Consider the following 20,718-nt stretch of genomic DNA (forward strand, 5'->3'; position numbering starts at 1 on the left):
TGCTTCTTCAAGGAAGAAATACATACTTGACGTTAAAGAAAGATAGCCCAGGGTAGGGACATATATGTTACTAGTGAATGGGATAGTTTAAAATACCTGAATATCTTTTTTCCATTCATCAATATTACATGTAAGTTAGTGTTTAAAATAAATGTTGACTGATTGATAGGTATTTTCTTGATCAGATTATACACATCATATTGAAGCCAGTATACTCAGACTTGAAAGAATAAGAATGAATTGCAAAATCTGGTTTAATTAAGATCTGGGGAGGGGAGCACATAGTGAAAATACATATGCACAGGAACCAAATCAATGCTAGACAATGTATTAGTTTACAATATAATAGGATAACTACAAGTTTGAAGGCTCAAATTGAGTCCATCAGCTGTAAATACAATTTTATATTTGGCTCAAGTGGCTGTTGAATATCAAGTGGTGCCGAGTCCCTCCAGAGCACCTACTGACCCCCTCAGCCTTGGAAGGAGTTTCACCACAGTCTCAGAAGAAATCCCAGTCGTGCCTTTAACTCTTTTGGCCCTTGGGAGTCATTGCAACCCCAATACAAATGCCGGCCCAGGGATTTCCAGTGGCCACAAGTTATTGCACAGAGAGGTCTGTTCTAAGCCAGACTCTTACAGCTAAGGAGGTGTGAGATTAGCCCTTAAATACTGGTCTAGCATTAGCATGGTCTATAAAAGCATGTTAAGAAATAGCTCCTCAGTGATTATGTACCAGCTACTAGTTATCCTACTAAGAGAAAAGGCAACATGGCAGCTTCACATTTCACATGAAAGACTAGCATTAACTGGGCCTGGCGTGCGGGCTTAACTTTGACATAACACTAGCGATTATTTTAGACCCAGGAAAAAATGATTTCATACCAGTCTTTTCTTCACATAAGATTTGTGTAGCATTAAAATTATGGGTTACTGAATAAGCCATGAAGGCAAAAATGTGGAACTCTCCTTGCCAAAACAGAAACAAACATCCCTGTTTTGACTCCTGTCCAGTTTCCAAAACAAAACAACAAAACATACATACACCTTTGTTATTGCACATCTTTCACACAAACTTGTGTATGTATAATATACATATATATTTTTAAATATGCTACACATAAAAAAAGACTATGGCACTTTACAGAATATATGTTTAACAAAGATCATTACACCACAGATGTTTGAAAACTATACAAAAACCCTTATACAATTAATGCAACATTGTTTGAATTATTAGCACACAGGTTTAAAGAATCCACAGAATCCAAGGCAAATATTTCTGCCTCAGAGTTCATTGAGAAGCGCAGCCCATCCCATCCCGTCATGAGACTTTCTTTAAGCCAATTTCAGGCAAAATAAATAAGACTTTCCTGGTAGTAATAATGGTCCTATTTATTAGAAAAATAAGTGTGAGCCAACAATCTATTTTTAACATTTCTTTCTAGCATATTCCTCATACCCAGTGGTTTTTAAACAGCTGTGTGGAAGAGCATGGTTTAGACTAGCATGATTTTAGATGGTCCTTTCATCCCAAGCCTGGCTAATGGATTCAAGGTTTAAAAGTCCCAACATTACCTTTTTACTATTTACTAAGTCAGTGTTTAGGTAGTTTTTAGTGGTTTGGGGTTCTGTGTGTGTGCATGCCTGTGCTTTTGTCTTCTGTTGCATTCAGATTAATAACATAAACACTATCGAGTGAGTTTATTATGGCCAAGAAGTCACACTCCCTTGTGACTGTTCCCAGGTTGATCTAGAGGTACACTGCCACCTTAGCCAAAGAGCAGGTGATGGACATGCTCGGAGGATCCTGTGAGCTTAGGACTTAACTTGTAAGGACACTGAGATTGTAAACCTAGTGTCAGAAAATGGTTTCTCTATCCAAGAAAGAAAGAAAAGTGAGTCTTCTGATAAGTTTATGGAAAAATTTTGTGTTTTTCATCAAGGTTTGAGACTTGGTTAGAACATTATAAATGTACACACAGAGACAGAAGCTTTGTCCAGTGGCTCCTCCAGCCTCTTTCTGTGTGGTGTTAGAGATATGGTTAAGGTTTCCTAGGCTGCTATGAAGATACCCGTTTTTTTCTTCACCAAAATCACAGGATTTACATCTCACTCACTTTGAATTTTGGTTCAGGAATGGGAAACTCATTAAGGCTAGTTCCACACCTCCCACCCCTTTTGCCCTTAGCCCTTAATCTGTGAGAAGATGGTTTCTCATATAGGCCAAACACCAGAATGTAGTAAAACTGCGGTTGTCCCATTCCATCTCTGTATAATTATCTGTTCTGCACCAAGATACGGTGCTTTAGACTCAGACAGCTTTAACATGATTCACTCAGGGCAAGGTTGCAAACTCTGAAGTCAGGGTTGTATAGCTGGTAGCACAATACCTTGTCCACAGAAGGTACTTTTTCAAAACAAAGTCCTCAAGTGAGCAGATTAATGAACCCAAATACCTACACTTTTTCTCCTTCCAGAAATCTGGCAGTTCCATCTCACTTTCTTAAAGTGCTAAGGAGTGTTTCTGTATCATGATACAATTTTGAAGCTCCCATAATGTCAGAGTAGCTTGTTTCTGTGCTGCTCTGGTCATTCTGAGATACTATCTTCCTGAATCAGTGATATTGGTAATTTATGGAAAGTAGATTAAAAACCCCTGAATCCTTATTCATAGTGGTATTTGATTCTTTTTGTAAACAGGTGTAGGCAGTGCTGTGACCTTGATCTAGCGCCTCTTTTTGAATTAACTTTGTCCTCTGTGCTTTCCTGGAATTAAGGTCTTGGCTGCAGTTCTTCAGTTGCAGCAATTTAATGTTATCTCAGTCTGCTTTCAGGATCAACACCAGTAACTACAAAAACTTAACTCCCATAACTAGCTTCTTTTTGTTGTAGAATGCCATTCTGCTACTGTCGGGATTGGAAATAGAGCTGACTACAGCATGGTCACCAAACTGGGAGTAAAGGTCTCCCCCCAAGTGCCGAGATTCTGGCAGGTCCTCCCAGTGAACATCTGCATAAGCCACAGCTAGCTTGGAGACCTCAGTCCCTGGAAGGAGGAAACAGTGAGGTTTCCTTTCGCAGTCAAAGCACAATCCTAACCTTAGAAGAAAAACATGTGATCTCCAGAAGAAGAGGAGACTGGGCCAGAACTGGTGCTAGCCTGGCTGCTGGGAAGAAGAAAAAATACGTCTTCACTAGCAAGATTTCATATTTTTGTTCTCATATGATTGTATAGGTCCTTATTGTTTCTTTACTCAAATTTCTAAAATCTCTGGAGTGACAGTTCAGTTGATCCACCTTACCCTAGGATTCAGCCTAGAATAAGTTCCACAGCATGACTCCACGCCATCCCTGCTGACCCCTTTGGTCAGCTAAGCAAAAGACAGTGTCTTGCTGTGCCCTTTAGCACACATCCTGTCCCCAGTAAGTTTATAGTTTTCTGTTCGTTGGAGACAACTTGAAAGAACAGAGGAAAACAAGAACTCCAACCCAAAACCCCATTCTGAGGCAGAGATGCTCACAAGCAAGCAGTGTTGGAGCAGAAACAGCCTGCAGATCTGGCGGACGGTCTCTTCCGTTACCAGAGAAACTGCTGCCCTAATGATTTAGATTATTATCCTTCATTGAACCTGGGGGAGATGGAGTCTGACAGAACTTGGCAACTCCAGGTCTAGGATTATATACTATTTTCATGTTCCATTCCTTATAATGTGCACTGCAGACCGCATGTCCAGTAACTTTGCGTAGCTGGATGTGGCCTCTCATTGGTCCTGTTTAAGCCTCGGGCCGTGGAACGTGGCTTTGGTAGGTAAAGGTTAGTTCTCCACTTGACTCAAATGATGAAACTGTGGACTGTTTCACAAGATTACTCAAGGGAGAAAATGGCATTGTCTCTTCCAAACTAAAGGAGGCAGATCAGATTTTTCCCCTCTTCAATTTCTTCCTGTACTTTGTCACTAGAGGTTGCAATTTCTGCTTGTGCAGAGAAGACAGCACAGATGAAAGTGAGGACTGTGCCCCCAATGGCGGTATAAAAGGCCCAGCCCAAGGAGCAGTCTCCAGGTTTGTAGGCAGATGCATAATGTCCACAGTAGTCTATGGCCTTCTGGCAACCCCAGCCAGCAGGGTAGAGTATCAAACCGAGGATAAGGAATAGACCTGCAGAACAAAAGAGAAAACAGATTAGAAAATCCCCATGGTGCTACAACTGTCCAGATCTGTTGTAATTGTTACTTGATTTGCTTGCTTTGGGCAAGGGCATCTATTCTGCAATAGAAAGTGTTGGGACTGTTTCATGCAAACTAATCTGACCTGATCAAGAAGTATCACATTATTAGAAATATTTTCAGCCACTTTTTTACATGTTGGAATGTGAATCCACTAAAAATTTCTCTTCTAGAAAAGCAAATTGGTACTTTTCTTCTTCTTAAGACAGAGTCTCAATCTGTTGCCCAGGCAGGAGTGCAGTGGTGCAGTTGTAGCTCACTGCACTTGAACTCCTGGGCTCAAGCTATCCTCCTGTCTCAGCCTCCCAAGTAGCTCGGATTACAGGCACACACCACCACACCTGGCTAAGTTTTTAAGTAGAGATGAGGTCTTGCTATGTTGCCCAGGCTGGTCTCAAACTCCTAAGCTCAAGTGATCCTCCCACCTCGGCCTCCACCACGAGTGGCCAACTTGTTACTATGTATTCCCACAGGGCTTTTGGTGCACTGAGCATTTCTCTTTTGGTCTAAGGCAGATGTTGGTAAACTAAGGCCCTCAAGCCAAATGTTAACTTTATAAGTAAAGTTTTATTGGAACACAGCTGTGGCCATTCATTTTTGGATGCCTACGACTGCTTTGCTATGGTCTGCAAAATCTAAAATGTTTACTCTAAAATGTTTACTGTCTGGCTTTCTGCAGAAAGAGTTTGCCAACTCCTGGTCTAAGGAAATTCACACAGAACCATCTGATGTCAACCTGATTAAATGCAAGAGCAAGGGCCACGAGGGAGACCAGGTCTTTACCTGATTGTTAGTGCTTTAAGTAAGCCAGATGTTTCTGTATTTATATACACATTTACAAACAAATTGCAAACTTTGTAAGGACTTTCTGTCTGCGTACTTTTAAGAGAGTGGACACTAATAAGCTTTACTTCCATTTTGCTGACCCTACTACCTTGTCATTTTAAACACCTATTTTCCTGTTCTTCACAGCATTACTGCTCACTATATAACCAGAATGCATCACTTGAGTTATTTTTCCTGCCTAGTCCCACCAGAGCTAGGACTAGGGTGAGCCACAAAAGGAGTCGCTTGCTGACCTTCAGGTATCAGCCCTGTGCCTGCAGTGGGTGCCTCACCCTGGCTGCCAGTCACATGACAGTAGCTCCTCCCAAAAAAGCCAGAGGCCTGAAATGACAAAGGCAACCTAGGCCCCCCCAGATTTTACCCAGCAAAACTTTAAAACTTTCTTGGTAACAGATCTTCTTTAGGCCAGGTGCAGTGGCTCACACCTGAAATCCCAGCACTTTGGGAGGCTGAGGTGGGTGGATCACGAGGTCAAGAGAGTGAGACCATCCTGGCCAACATGGTGAAACCCCGTCTAACTAAAAATACAAAAATTAGCTGGGCGTGGTGGCACACCTGTAGTCCCGGCTACTGGGAAGGCTGAGGCAGAAGAATCGCTTGAACCCGGGAGGTGGAGGTTGCAGTGAGCCAAGATTGGGCCACTGCACTCCAGCCTGGCAAAAGAGTGAGACTCCCTCTCAAAAAAAAAAAAAAAAAAGCAAGATACTGCAAGAGGAGGAGGAGGGCAAAAACATTTTCTCTGAAAAATTCAACCTATGTAATCAAGAATGCTGTATCATAATCAAAGTTCCCACTTTTTAGATACTGGGGAATATCAATTCTATCCTGGTGAATTAATCTTGGCATCTTGGCTCTGAGTTCTGTTTCTTTACCTACCTTAACTGAAATTCTCTGGGTTTACCCCACCAAAGCTTCTAAGTCATTTACAGCAACTTCCCCGCAAAGAAAACATGACTGACTTTATGGCAGTATGAGGCGTGAAGGAAGATTGGGGACAGTGTTTCAACTTACACATCACAACTTTCACAGTGGTCTTCATCCTGTGATGGTGTCCAGCTTGGCATGTCACTACCAGGGCATTTTGGGATTTCAGTGTCTCCACCCCATCCCATTGTTCTTCTCAGATGGCCTCAAGGGACTTTGTAGCAGGGGTGGAGTAGAGGGAATCAATTCAGATGCTCATTGTTTGAAGAGGGGTGATTCACAAGGAAGTCTTTCTAACCCCACGGCCCTCTCTATAGATCTGAATGGTGGGAACCTGGGAGGCAATGAGTTGTAGCAAGGAAATGTGATTGGTGCTGGGAAGAGCAAGTGAAGCTGGAGAGAGGCTGTTAGAAATGACCAGCAGCCAGTTCCCCCAAGGCTAAGGCAGCCAGTGCAGACTCTTGGTCGTCTAGAATATGGAAGGTCCTGAACCACAGCAATGAAAGGGTAGAAATCAAGTAGCAGAAAAGACCCCATAGTCTAGTGTGAGGACAGGAGGCTAGAACACAAACCAGAAATATGGTGGACCACAGCAGAGACTCACCAAATTAAGAGGTGATTCTGTTAATAGTTAAGAGCTCTGACTTTAGAGTTTGAATCCAGGCTCCGCCCTGTATGAGCTGAGTGACCGACATACGATTCCTCACCTGTAAAATGGACTAATCCATCACTCATAGGTGGCTGTGAATTGTGAAGTCTGTTCTACCATCGTAACAAAAACTGGAAACAGATGATGAGCCTGAACACAGGTCAAAAGCCCTCGGCAGGCCCCTCTCACACAGAAGCAGATCAGCTCATTGTTAAGGGCATATTTTGAGAAGTATAATAATTTGGGGAGAGAGGAGATCCCCAGGCTACATTCAGTACTCTTGAAAAAATATTCTCCATCTGAACAGAGGTTTGTTCAGCTGAGATCTTAAATGATTTAACCAATTCTTAAATATTTCTAAGGCCTATGATAAACCCCAATTAATCTTGTCTGCATCCCACTTTGTTCCCTATGAAGCCTCCCCACAAGGTATGATGGGGATGTTAATAGTCTTCTCCCTCCAGGTCCTAAGGTGCCACTCTGGTGTACCCTCCATGGGCCTTCTGTACAATCTCCCCCAGCCCGGCACGCAAAGGCACTTTGGGTGTGCTGTAGCCTCTGCCCTAAAGCTCTGAGTGTAGGCCTGAGGTGAGGCAGCATTAGCTGCTCTTCCCTTTAAAAGACCAAAGTGTTCATATTTTTTGTTCCAATTCAACATTAACTGCACATTGCACTTGTATTATATGTGCACTTTAATATATTAGGGACAGAAGACAAAGCATGGAGTTTGCTGTCACATACCAGCTCTGCCACCTTGTGTCAGGCTCTGCCTAGTTTGTAAGGCACAAAAAATACCTTAATTTGGCTGTCTTGGGTTCTCTGGGGAAGCAGGCAGGTTTTACATCACTTAATACAATCCTTATTTTTGATAGCAATCAGGCTCCTTTCCACAGCGTGCTGAGCCCAGCCAGGAGCATTAATTGCCCTGAGGCGCTCCCTTTTCTAATGGCTCAGGTGTGACTGCTGAGGGGCTTCAGGCCATCTTCAAATCTTGTGGCTGCTCCTGGCTCAGTTTGTGAATAAGTAAAGCAGGGAGACTCTTGCTGTTGTTTAAGTCACATAAGAGTGCCATGCTTGTGAGCCTGTGGAAAGCTTCAGCTTGAATATTTATAAGCCCACAGGAAAGTCCATGTGACAGAGTAATACAAAGCGGGTGAGGTATATCTGCCCTGTGGGTGTGAAGTGTGCCAACCACACGCTGCAACCTGGGCAGCCAGCCCCGACAAGCACAAGAGCGCCTTAACCCAGGGCTCCGTGGGGCAGTGGAGGAAGTCACCACTGTCCACTCTGCCCTGACTGGCGGGCCTCTGCTCCCAGTGCCCATCACAGTTATCATTAACATAGCCGAGGCCATGGAATAGGGTTTGAATCCAGGCTCTGCCCTCTATGATCCCTCACCTGTAAAATGGACTAATGTCTAAGAGAAAACTGGGCCTTCAGGTAAGCAAAAATAAATTTTTTTAAAAAATCTTATTTATCATTTCTTTGGGTATGTAGATAAAGCCTCTTCTACCAAAGGAATCCCAGCAAGATCAGTGACTTGGGTGTCCCTCTGTGGTGAATGCCACACGTAGTCCTCCCCTCACGAGGTCCACAGTGGGAAGCAAAGCTACCTGTCTGAGCCCAGCCTGGCCCTGGTTCTCCACTGCTCTCAGGCTGAAGCAGCTTCAGAGCAGCCTGGGCAGGAGTTCCTGGGCCCTGACAAGCATCCCTCAGGCACAGACTTCATCCTAGCAGTCACAAGAAACTGTCAGTAGTTGATAATGTTTACCTACAAGAATTGTCATTTCATACGACTCAACCTACCATTTGATGATTATCCATCTCCATCCTTGACTTTATGCTCCATGAGGGCAGGGATTTTTGTGTATTTAGTTTACTGCTCTAATGCCTGTGCTTAGAATGATGCTGGGCACACAGCAGGACCTTAATAAAAATTTACTGACAGTGCAGTTTGCTTTGTAATAAAATATTTCTAAACCATAGTGCCCATGGAGGAAATCAGTAAAATAACTGAGATACCAGTCAATAAGAATGAAATGTGTCAGCAAGAAAGAAAATAGAGACCTTTGGGTGATTGATGTATCCTGTTCTAGGCCGGTGAGCCCTGGGTTTTAAAAGCAATCTTGTGCCCTGAATTCCAAATGGGCTTGATACTAATAAAACAATTAAAATCAATAACTTCTTCAATGGGCATATGAGACAAAGGCAAGAGAATACAGTAACAGATACGAAGTTTGCTGGAGACTTGGAATGGTTTTTCTGATACTCAATTTGGAGTACACTCAGGGACTATCAGCTTGGTCATAGGTTACGTCCAGAGGCCAAATGGAAGGTAAAGGATGCTTTGGACTGGGTTTCACATGACGGCTGAGCCAGAAAATGGTCTGTCTGCTCTCCCTTTGCAGCTATTAAAAAAGCAGTTCCTGAAGTGAGGCCACCCTCTCTGGTAGTCTCTGGGGCCCTGCCATCACCTTGCCTCACTGCACTGTTGTTTTGGGGGTGTGTTTGTGTGTTGTGAAGGGCAATGGAAGAAGGAAGGGACTAGGGCTGTGGGCATTTATTTTCTTCTGCCTGGCATCTCTACCTGATTCATGACTGGGTCGCAGCAAGCCCAGCTGGGAGGAAGAAGAAATGGGGGGGAGAATGACACTGGCCAGCCACCAAAGACAACGCAGCCACCATGGAAAGAAGCCATAGGTCACCTGGAGGGCTGCTCACCTCTGCGATGGCTCAACTTGACAGAATGGTGCCCTAGAAGGTAACAATTTTCATAACCTTAAAAGACTCCAACATCCTCATCCCCGTGTTCTAACAGCCTCATTGTACCAAGGAGGTTAGAAGACGTTAGCATCTGCTGGCAATGGGGGGATCACATGATTCAACCTTATCTGTAGAGGAAAAAAACAAATGAAAAGCTGATGGTCAGTCACTTGGACTGCCCAACAGGTGCCACCTCCAGCTGGAGACAGAGCCTTGACAACCTCACCGATGGTCATGGTATTGTATTGGGATAGCTGGTGCTCGCCCTCCCAATCAGCTGGGCACCAGCCATCCCAGCGCAGCACCTGCCACACCCCACTGCCATTTTCATATTTTCCTCACAGAAGTTTTATCTACCCGTGCAAGAATCTTCAGAGTTTCTTTGGGGAATCTAAATACGTGGTTTGCATTTAACAGAAATAATCAGACTGGGCTCCGTGAGGGCAGAGGCTACACAGAGGAACACAGTTTTATCACTGTGTTCCCAATGCAAACGTAGGAAACACACCAGGAAAAGCCAAGTCACAGTCCTGATTTCCTAGCAACATTTTGCACTGAGTGTGATCAGACCAGTCACAAATTTATGTCTTAGGTAAATTTTTAAAATACTGCCCTGGAATCAAATAATGGGATATCAAATACTTTTAATCAAATCCCTTAGGTGGGAAGAAAAGCATTTCCATAGTCCTGCCAGTCCCCCAGTTTGGGGAAGGCTAGATGTTGCTGCATACAGTGAGTATTTCACTGGGTCTGAAGGTGACCATGTCAGTCTCACAGTGAGGGATGCTAGGAATGGAGGAGCCAACTCTGAACCACAGCATTTCAGTTTGTGAAGAAGTGGGATAAGGCTCCATGGTTATTTCACAGCCTTTCCCTGACCAACCCACCCTCTCCACATCAGTCATGATTACTACCCTCCTTCACCACCTGCTGGCCAATGGATGGGACTCAAGGTTTCTTGTCTTTGTGGGTCACCAACCATTTGTACAGAAAAAGGCCTTTGTTCCTGCCTGAAAAGGGAGCACTACAGGCTGGCTCTTGTTCCACAGAGTAACTGTCTGAAGAAGTGAGTCTTTAGACACCACACTCCCACTTCCCCGTCACACAGGCTTCCAGACTAAATATTAAAGACTAGACCTCAGCTTGCAAAGGAAATTCTAAGAACAGAAACAAAAGAAGGTCACCTGTTACCACTACCAGCAATCTGTGGAGAGGCCACCACTGAGAGGGCCAACACTCAGCACCTTTACTAAGTCGAAATCAAACAGCTTATTCCACAGCTATGAAATATCGGAACGTCTCTGGAGAGAGTTCACAGCAGACAATTGACAGCAGATGTAAAGTACCTCTGATCAACGTGGGCCCCACTTGGGAAGTTCCCAAGCGTGTCCACGGAGTGCATGCCATATGCTTGCCTTCACAGACCATTTATGGATGGCCATGGCTGGGTTATAGGAGTGGGATGCTGTAGGGTTTCAGAGGCTGGTGATAGTCAACAATCTGGTCACACTACACACATCACCATTCCTCGAACAGGGGCCTGTTATTCACAGTGACCCCCTTGGACGCTCACGCATCTGGGCATTCTCTCCCTCATTCCAATGCAAATGTTGCCTCCCCGGGAAATGTTTGTCACCACTTCCTGCCACAGGGTTATTCTCGTTGTGTTCCCACCTCCAACGTACATCCCTCTTGAGCTCTTTCTCACTTTTAAAAATTTATTCAATAGCTGTTTACTGAGGGCATTACTCTCAACCCTGATGATACAACAGTATCCTAGTGGGACTCAGCCTCTTGAAGCAGAAAAGCTTTGGTATCTCCCACACCCAGCACACTTCGTGACACTTTTTAGGAACTTGGTTATAGGTTAATTAGAATCGATACGAATTCTAATGAGACATTGCAACTTTGCCTTAACATTCACTGATAAACCTGCTAGGTGTGTCACACAACTAGGTCAAGAGTTCATATTCTGTCTGTCTTTGAAATAGCTGGCCATTGGCCCTTTTAGGAACATAGCAGCCCATCTAACTATTAAACATCAATTTCTCTTATAACATTTTTCTGAAAAAATAAAAAACAAATCCCTCTAGTGTTTTGTGTTGGTCTGCCCTGTGACTCAGAGGGCTGTGGATCTAGCTAAGTCTGAGCCCCAGCCCTTGTTGACCCAGCACAGCTCACTACAGCATAATGCCCAAGGGCTGCCCTGCCACTAAGTTGCTTCCTGTGTTCCATATGACACAGCTTAGACAGCATTCCAGGCTTTTCAGTGGGGACAGCTTCACAAAGTACTGATGGTACTAGAATAAAGGAAAACTCTGACAGGACAGTTATTCTCATATGAATTTAAGATCATCAGCCAGTGCTCTGCCTCCAGATGGGAAGCCTCACTGGCTTTTCCTTCTTGGTGTTCTTTGCTGCTCCCCCTTTACCTTTCCAGTCTAAACACAAGGGTGCCCAGGGCTCACTCCTTGGTCCTCTTCCCTATCTATATTCCCCTCCTGATCACAGCTGGCCCCATGGCTTTAAGTACTACCCCAAGCTGAGTTTTCATTTCCAGTTTTGAACTCCAGATGTGCATATCCAGCTGTCTACTTGGCCTCTAGCAAGGCACTTGAAAATTATGTCCAAACCAGGACTCTTGATTTCCATTCCCCACTCAAAACCTGTTCTTCACCTTGTCCACCTGATCTCAACAAATGGGAGTTCAATTCTTAGACATGTGCAGGCCAGAGACCTTGCTATCATCTTTGACTCCTTTCTCAGAAATCCCAATTTACTCTATCGGCAAAGCCTGTGGGCCTTCATTCTAGCTGTTCCCTTTGCCTGGAATGTTTTCTCCTGATACCCACATGGCTAACTCCTCTATCTCCTTTAAGGCTGTGGTTAATTAAATCTCTTCTTTTCAATAAATCCTACCCTAACTATCTTCAACATTCCCTCTCACTATTCCAGCATACCCCGGCCTCTCTCACCCGGGCTACACCTTCTCCTGGCTCCTCTACCCTACTGCACACTACCTTTTAACATACTATATAGTTTACTTATCTTATTTATTGTCTACCCCCGCCAGCTTGAATGTAAACTCCATGAGGACAGGGAACTTTATGCAGTTTGTTCTTTGTGTCCCAACTGCCTAGAACAAGGTCTGACATGTAACAGGTGCTTAGTAAATATTCACTGATTTGAATGGATGAATGAAAAGATAAGGTGATGTGATTATATTACATTTTTAAACAAAGCCATTGTAGAAAGTTCTTGACAAGTTTTTGAAATGGTTGGAGGAAAAGCTTCAGTTTGCAATTCTGGCCAACAGAACGCCAGCTACACAGTTACTACTGAAACACATGTGCAGACCAAACCACAGGACTGGTCTTTTGCATAACTGCCTGCACTGAAAACCTTCCTGGCTACAGAAAATACCTGGTTGTTAGGAAATCACACAGAAAAAAGTAGTCAGTTGATTAAATGTAATACACTTTCAGGTATCTAGACACCAGCCTGAGTCTAGGCTCAGATCTCTGAAATTGTTTCCAGCTTGGCCTGGCTGCAGCAAGGACAGCTGCCAAGACAGGCCGCGGCTGACCTGTGAGAGCTGGCCAGGCACTGGCCAGGAGAGGAGCAGCACGCGGGAGAAGGACGGGAAAGGACAGGTGAGAGAAGACAAAGGATACGTGGGGGAATGAGGTGAGCCACGACCACTTGTGAAAGAGGCAGGGTGGTAAATATTAGCAGTGTGAGCCTGGAGAACGGAAAACACCACTGCGAAGGTACCAGCACTATGGGCAGAGGATGCAGAACTGTTCTGCAGCCCAGGAAAACGCCCACTCCTCTTGGCAGCATCGCAGATCAACCTCTCAGGGTGGGGGTGTGTTTTTCTGTTTCCAGTAGATGTTTAGAAGTCAGGCCATCTGTCTCAGTCAAGTGTACAACAACTGGTGACTGAGTAATAAGCAGCATCTCTGTGTGTGGTTAATGCTCATCTGTGTGCTTCCCTCTGTTTTCTACGTTTTTAATCTTTCCCCAAGTCATCTTCCATGCTGATAGTCAGAAGTCATTCTGGCAGCCCCTAGCAGCTATTTGTAGGCCACCAACTGTTGCTAGGTGGAGATATTTTCTCTTTTACAATATCCTAAGGCAAACTGTCAGACAGTCTGAAGACTGTGCTTTGAGGAGGGCACATGTATCAGACCACATCCAGTTCCCTCGCCACTGAATTTGCCATTAAGATATTCTCTTCCCAAAGACCACAGTGTGAACCTGCAGACTTCCCATGTGCAGGGACTCTGGAGACACTCTGCAGTACTGATCCTTACTCACCAAGACAAGAGACACCCTACTTCAGAAGAAAGAGACATACATGATACAATTTAGAATGAATGTCTTGGGTAAAAATAATAAAAAGTGGATAACCATCTATCTGGAAAACTATCCTGTAAAAAACAGAAGTCTTACTGTGACATAGATGCACTTGTCCCATTATAAAACAGCACTGGTTCCAAGACAGACTGGAGGCCTGAACTACGATTCCACTGGAAACGTGTTGATAGTGGTAAAGAGTGTTCCTATTCCTCAGTTTCTATGTCTCCAGCCCTATCCCCATCTACACTCAGTGCCTCTTATGCAGTCCTCTACACATAATGGCAGTGTTGACCAGCTTCACATGCCATTTCTGATGCCCATTTCCTTTCCAAGCATCACTTCTTTGGAAGAACCTTCTGGAAAGGTCTTCTATAGTAAAAATGATAGACTCTAAAGATGAAATGGAGATGAAACTATAAACACCCTCCCCCAAATTTATAATATACATTCACAATGGATACTTTAGTTGGAAGTTTGTAAAGATGATTAGAACCCTTTAATAATCATGAAGATAACTTACACTAACAATGGGAGCATTTCATGCTTGTTGAGCACTCTGTGCTAGGCACTGGTTAAGCACTTTAAATATAACTCATGCAGTCCTGATAGCAATCCTATGAGGCTGATACTACTAATATCATTTGACATATGAGGAAACTGAGGCACGGAAGGGCTAAGTAGGGTTACACAGTTAATCAACGGCAGGACAGGGACTCAAATTAGAGAATCTGGCTCCAGAGTCCACTTCCTGAGCCTTATCCTAGACTGCTGTTTTACTGCAGACCAGAGACTAACTTCCAAGACAAAAACATTTGTCCAGCTGAAGAGGAGAGACTGATATGCATTCAAAAGCTTGCTTAGTTATATCTACAAGGATTAGAGAGCAGGTGATAAGGAACTGTTATCAAGTGAGAAACCACAGGAGTGCCGTGAGGGGTTATGGAGAGTGGAAGACTGCACCAAAATAAAGGTAGCCTATTGTCAAGCAGGTTGACTTGCTAATCCTATTGCAAAACAACAGCAAGATAAAGAAATTCCATCTCCACTCTCTTCCATTTGATCTGAGTGTCACCAACCTTACTGAAGCATTAGATGCCACTTTGGAATGGCTGCCCTTGGTCCGACCAACTTCTAGAAAGAAGCCTAATGAACAGGTCAGAACAATTTAAGGCTCACTATGATGTGAACCTTGTACAGAATGTGGAACACCTGTGTGAGCAGAAAACTGCAAACAGCACCAAACCCACTGGACCAAAAGGAAAAAAAAAAAAAGGCAGTATAATCAACTGACGACTTAGTTTTTGCTCAGATCTTCTATGCTTGGGAACCATTTGAAATTACAGATCCATCCAGAAAAATAATGCCATCCACAAAATCACCCATAAAAAAACACATCCAAGAAAGCCATCTGTAGCCAATTAGACAAAATTGGGCAATGAGCATCTCAGTCCCAAATCTCTCCTCCAATAGGTCAGGCCACTGTTCAGCCATCTCACCTCCCAAGCAGCCTTTCTCAATTCATAGAGCTAGATGATCTTTGTCTTTCCTGATTGCCTCCTACCCCTGAATCCTTGCACCACTATCCGTGATCCAGTGGGTGTTAGTTAAACCCATGTCATTGAGGGATCTGCTTATTCCTATGTCTGCATGCAGGGGAAGCTGCTCATAATCTCAGGCATCTGGCTCTCGTGAAATCTTGCTTAGAACAACTGTAAACACCGAGGGTTGGGGGGAGGCAAGATCTCTTCCTTCCACCCAGGAAGAGTTCTGGTTCTGTACCCTACAAGCCCAAATGAAATTAGCAAAGGTATTCAATCCTGCTTGTCTTCCCCAGATGCCAGATGGGCTGCTATCTTCAGTACCAAAACTTCAGTTAGCCACTCAGAGTCTGAATAAATAAAAGTAATATAACAAAGTAGGAGTTATAACATGAATCAAGAATTTTTGCCCAATAATGATCACTTTTGGTTAATCTATACCTTTGCCCATTAAGGTTCTCCAATGAAAACTTTTTCAAAGTCCAAGCAGAATTTGGTTTCAGTGATGACCAGTTCTGAAGTGATTCTTCAGATGATGGCTCATCAGTTACTTATGCCATAACTGTCTAGGAGGGCCGGGTCTATATCAGAATTGAGACTTAATGGCATTCGTTAAATTCCAACACCTATAAATTTACAGCTGGGGCTAGAAGAGACTAATCAGTGGTTCCACAGATATGTGCCTGTCAGCGAACATACATTTACTGAGCATCTACTATGTACGTAGTGGGTTCCATTCTGAACACTAGAGGTATAACTGAAAAGACACGTCACACCCTTGTGGGACTTCCTTATATTCTAAAACAGTGGTTCCTACACTTTCTGGACTTTACAGTCCAGAAAGATTGTTGGGAGGGCAACATTTTTTATTTTGCTAATAAAGACACTGAAAATAGCCTTTATTATCTCCTCTCATCATTTCATAAAAGAATATTTTAATACAAGAAGGGTGAAGGATGTAATTGGAAAATAAATGACATTTCTTTGAAGTGAATACATCGGCTTGATGAAATGTTACCACACTTACTAAACTTCCTTGATTTTGCCGTGAAATGGGAGAAGCCTTAGCACAGAGTGGACCAGCACTCGTTCAAAGGAAGCAACTTCTGGCTGAGGGCCCTTCTGCGGGGTAAGAGATGGGGGAGTGTAGAGGGTACCTGCGTTAAGATGCGGACCCCTTTCTAAGAAGCCTATTTATTTACTGTGCAAGTATCAAGATACATGGTAAGGAGGCTCTGAGTCTCTTTGGAGTCTAGGTCCAAACTTAAGTTAGAAGAGATGAGGTCTCACTGTGTTGTCGAGGCTAGCATGCAGTTGCTATTCACAGACGTGATCATATTGCACTACAGTCCCAAACTCAAGTGATCCTCCTGCCCGTGTAGCTGGGACCACAGGCATGAGCCTACATGGCTTACTCCATCTCATTTTAAAGTTTCAAGAGTTCGTGGACAAGCTAAACCAGGCTTAACGTCGACATTTAGTAACTCATTTAGCTCCAGGGGCCAGATCAGGAACTAGAAGTCAAAGGGTTTCCTGGCAATAAAAGAGTTTTTGTGAATGACTACAGCATCTTTGAGAGCAGGTATCTACATGTTATTTTAGTACATGATCAATAATTTTAGAAGCTTTAACCAGTAAGATTTCAGAGACAAGCAAGAGAAAAAGGGAAGGAACTGGTTATTTTCAAGTGTCAATTAAAAAAAAAAGAAGCTTGCATTAATGCTTTTGCTGTTTCCCCAGAGAAATCTAGTAAGATATCCATTTTCTACTAAAAATACTCCCATGATATTATAGTTGGCAAGAAAAACACTCTCCAGGGTGGAGACAAGATGACAGATGAACATAAATAGCATTCTTTAGAAGACAATCAGAGCATAGTTGTCATAAAAAGATCTTACAACCAAGGTCCCCAAAGGAAGTTTCTGTTATAATTACTTGAAATTAATGGCCATCAGTTAAAAATTGTCTGATGCCCTTAGGATATGTGGAGAAACAATCTAGAAGAAAGATGCAGTTTCTCCATTGTTGAAGCCTCCCTCTTTCTCAGCAGTAATTCCTGTTTAAAAGCAAATTACTTCTGCTAGCAGTTTTTAAAGCCTTAACTCTAGAACGTTGAAATACATCTCAACAGACTAACCTAGCCAGATGATTCCTTCCCATCAGTTAGTGATGAAGCCTTACTTCACATTCGGGGTGAGAAGCTGTTTGTTAACTGGCTTACATGCAACTGAAAGAACTTTATGAAATACGTTCTCCATAAGTTATTCATCAGACAGGCAGGATCACGAAAGACAGAGCTCCTGCTCGACTATAACCAAAATACATTGATAATTCAAAGTAAGTTACCAAAATAAACTGCAAAATGTAATGTGTAACAAGGTAAAAGGCACTTTTAAAAAACATAGTTACTAAAGCTATGGAATTTCTAGGACAAGTAAATTTCTTGCCTGCTGAGGTCTTTGGGTGCAGATAATGTTAAATAATTCCTACTACAGCAAACCAGGTGCTGTCTTTTCAACACTACGTCCCTGAACGTGGCCTCTGTCACTCTGAACACACAGCCACTCTGCATTTTGAGTTGAAATTACTTAAGAGTTGTGGACACGTATTTGTACTGATTCTTAAAGCATTTTAATATTGGCTTCATTTTCTCCGCATGTGTAGTTTTAGATTTAATATGTAATGGTGGCTGTCTTTAAAAGAAAAAAGTTGCTGGCCATTTAATAAAGCTACTGGGAAGACCATCTACATAAATGAGCTCATAAATGTGGCTGACCGCGCTGTAGGACAGTTCTTCATAGAAGATGCAGATTATTTTTGAAGTGGCTTTATAGCTTAAAAGAATACCACCTTTGCATTAAGCCCCTACAACAGAGTGCCAGAACTGCTCATGTAAATATTCAGGGCCATGCTTAAATGATTATTTGTTAATGTAATTTGAATATAGATCATCCATGGCTCTGTGATAATTTATGTCGACAATTAAGTAGTTGCCATGGCAAACCACTTTTGCATTTTATTTGCATATCAACTGCTATATCAGAATTTTAAGAGAGTTTGCCATTTCCTTCCAGACTTTCCAACTCATTCTTTAAAAACAGGTCCCCGTCTTGGCCAGGTGCGGTGGCTCTGCCTGTAATCCCAGCACTCTGGGAGGCCGAGGCAGGTGGATCACCTGAGGTCAGGAGTACGAGACCAGCCTGGCCAACGTGGTGAAACCCCGTCTCTACTAAAAATACCAAAAATTAGCCAGGCATAGTGGCAGGTGCCTGTAATCCCAGCTACTCAGGAGGCTGAGACAAGAGAATCACTTGAACCTGGGAGGCAGAGGTTGCAGTGAGCCAAAATCGAGCCATTGCACTCCAGCCTGGGCAATAAGAGCGAAACTCCATCTCAAAAACAAACAAACAAACACAGGTCCCCATCTCTAGAGATACTAAATTAATACCTGCTTGGTCCACTTGCTTTTCAGCAGTCATTTTTTTATTTATGATATGGTTGAATTCTTCATTCCCTTTATATATTATTTATTTTATATTTCTTTTGCTTCTCTATGGTACAGTTTGTGAAATGATGACTCTCTAATACAGCCTGGAAGCAGAACTCAGCAAGTTGTAGACCTGCGTCTACAGGTCTCTGCACATAGTAGGCATCCAATACAAGTGCCTAGGACTGAAATTGAATTCTGACCTACCTTCTCATAACATGTCTGCATTTTTTTTACTTTTTACCAAGGGACTACTAAAGGCTGATGAATTAGGAAATGTGTCCTATCAGTGGTATTTTAAAACTGATTCAGACACGGAACTGTTGGACCTGACTTCTGGTGGAGCATCATCTGTCTGGACAGCCAGAAACCAAGAGCCTCCCTTTGGCAGCCAGAAGTCCTCAGGGCCTTGTGCTCACCAGGAACAAAAGGAAGGGCTGTTCCCTCTACTCTCCCCATGCCTCTTTGAGGGTGTTCTGAAGGTGGGCAACCAAGGTCACACCACCCCAGAGAAAGCCCGGTGACTTTTTCAGGAGAAAAATTCTGAGGCAGGGCTCCATGTGTGCCAGGCATCTCCGTCCATCTCCCTATGCTTCCCAAGCCCCTGTTCTGATTTCTCTCCTCTCAGTGGCTGACCTTGTCTTTTGGGCCTGAGAGTGAATGAGTAGGGCATGAGATCAGTCATGGGGTTGGGCTATGGTCATAACCTTGATGCTTAAGGTGATTTTTTACCCTGTGTAAAAAGCAGTAAGAATACCAAATCCTGGAGAGTGATCAGCTGCATTTCGTATGCCCACCCATACTTCCATGCATCAGATTTATGACAAAAGCAATTATATAAGCAGCAAAGGCAAAACCCCCACGTGTCTGTCTCTGCTTTTCCTTTTATTGCTTTTTTTCATGTTGTCCTCTTTCACCCTCAATCATTGCTCACTTCCAAGAAGGCTGAGCCTGCATACACCAGGCCCTTCACCGCCACTGCCAGCGCCATTCCCACGACCACACACCCTTCACCCCAGCCCTGCAGAGGCAGGGTTCAGCCCCAGGGCAATCTATCTGGTCAGACTGGTGGGGCAGCTTGCTAAGGCTGTCCTGCTGGACTGAGACCCATGCAGGCAGAGGGCTGGAGGGAGTAGAGTGTGAGAGCCAGCCCAGCATAAAGGGAAGACTGGAAGATAGCAGGCAGCTGGCCGGTGGCTCATGCTTATGGCAGTCCCTGTGGAATAGGCCCAGCCAGCACAAGTGAGCCAAATCCTGAGCTCAGTTTAATGGCTTCGGTCCCAAACCTGAGTCACTGGGGATTCCATGGACTTCTAAGAGAGCCCTACACGCATTTCCAAAAACAAACTGCTTGATGTTGTCATGGAAAACCTGGATCTTTGCATTCTATGGTTTCACGATGGATTACATCCAGGTCACAACCTAAGGAAGACAGCTGGCAAAAAGCCAACCCTGCTGGCTGATCACCCGGCTTTTGTAATGAATCCCAGAGGGATGCAAACTGATGTGTGTTGCTGCCTCTGCCAAGTCCTTGGACAAGTTCTCACCTCATGAAGACTAATCAACCTGTGATTTACTCCGCCAGGAGAATCTCAGAAGCCACCTGCAATCAACACTCAACGGCTAGAAGCTGCCTCCAGAAAGAGAAGGAATGGAAAATGTGTGTGTCAGGGGAAGGGGAGGGGGAGGAAGGAGCTCTGTTTTCTTGTCAATTTGACTGCTCTCTCCTGCCTTTTAAAAAAATGATCTGAGGACACCCCTGGTTACACCAAAGCCACAGGACTGCTGTGCACCCTGAGCTCCAACACAGGCAGGCTCTTAAGGACAGGGAAGGCCCCTACACACTGTATTTGTGTTTGATTGGAACAGAGTAAGGTCAATTCTAAAAGCTACAAGATATCCCTGTTCCGTAGAATGCAAC

The 20,718-nt window shown here is 43.8% G+C and overlaps 1 protein-coding gene across 6 annotated transcripts in view, besides 4 other annotated features; it reads right to left on the reverse strand.

Moving 5' to 3' along the window:
• Positions 1–236: 236 nt before the first annotated feature.
• The window catches only part of LHFPL2 (LHFPL tetraspan subfamily member 2), a 163,543-nt gene continuing 143,061 nt past the window's right edge, over positions 237–20,718 (reverse strand). For 4 of the 6 annotated variants that reach the window (XM_006714515.3, NM_005779.3, XM_047416606.1 and 1 more), the window contains one exon: positions 237–4,160. In XM_006714515.3, coding sequence (XP_006714578.1) covers positions 3,904–4,160 — 257 coding nt within the window. In that variant the 3' untranslated portion in view covers positions 237–3,903. Of the gene's footprint in view, positions 4,161–6,086; positions 6,333–9,368; positions 9,539–20,718 lie in introns of those variants that run through there. The other 2 variants (XR_007058567.1, XM_047416608.1) reach the window with 2 other exon arrangements.
• Positions 7,383–7,886: an enhancer, noted in NCBI's record as "H3K4me1 hESC enhancer chr5:77788199-77788702 (GRCh37/hg19 assembly coordinates)". NCBI's record gives its function as "activates a minimal SCP1, AML or CMV promoter by ChIP-STARR-seq in naive H9 embryonic stem cells {active_cell/tissue: H9 hESC(naive)}" and the evidence as "EXISTENCE:reporter gene assay evidence [ECO:0000049][PMID:30033119]".
• Positions 13,058–13,237: an enhancer, noted in NCBI's record as "active region_22709". NCBI's record gives its function as "activates an Ori minimal core promoter by ATAC-STARR-seq in GM12878 lymphoblastoid cells {active_cell/tissue: GM12878}" and the evidence as "EXISTENCE:reporter gene assay evidence [ECO:0000049][PMID:35858748]".
• Positions 14,473–14,767: a silencer, noted in NCBI's record as "tiled region #4849; HepG2 Repressive non-DNase unmatched - State 15:Elon". NCBI's record gives its function as "represses a minimal TATA promoter and a strong SV40 promoter by Sharpr-MPRA in HepG2 cells {active_cell/tissue: HepG2}" and the evidence as "EXISTENCE:reporter gene assay evidence [ECO:0000049][PMID:27701403]".
• Positions 19,877–20,385: an enhancer, noted in NCBI's record as "H3K27ac-H3K4me1 hESC enhancer chr5:77800693-77801201 (GRCh37/hg19 assembly coordinates)". NCBI's record gives its function as "activates a minimal SCP1, AML or CMV promoter by ChIP-STARR-seq in naive H9 embryonic stem cells {active_cell/tissue: H9 hESC(naive)}" and the evidence as "EXISTENCE:reporter gene assay evidence [ECO:0000049][PMID:30033119]".

The sequence above is a fragment of the Homo sapiens genome, chromosome 5 (genome assembly GCF_000001405.40).
Source record: "Homo sapiens chromosome 5, GRCh38.p14 Primary Assembly".
Classification (NCBI taxonomy): domain Eukaryota; kingdom Metazoa; phylum Chordata; class Mammalia; order Primates; family Hominidae; genus Homo; species Homo sapiens.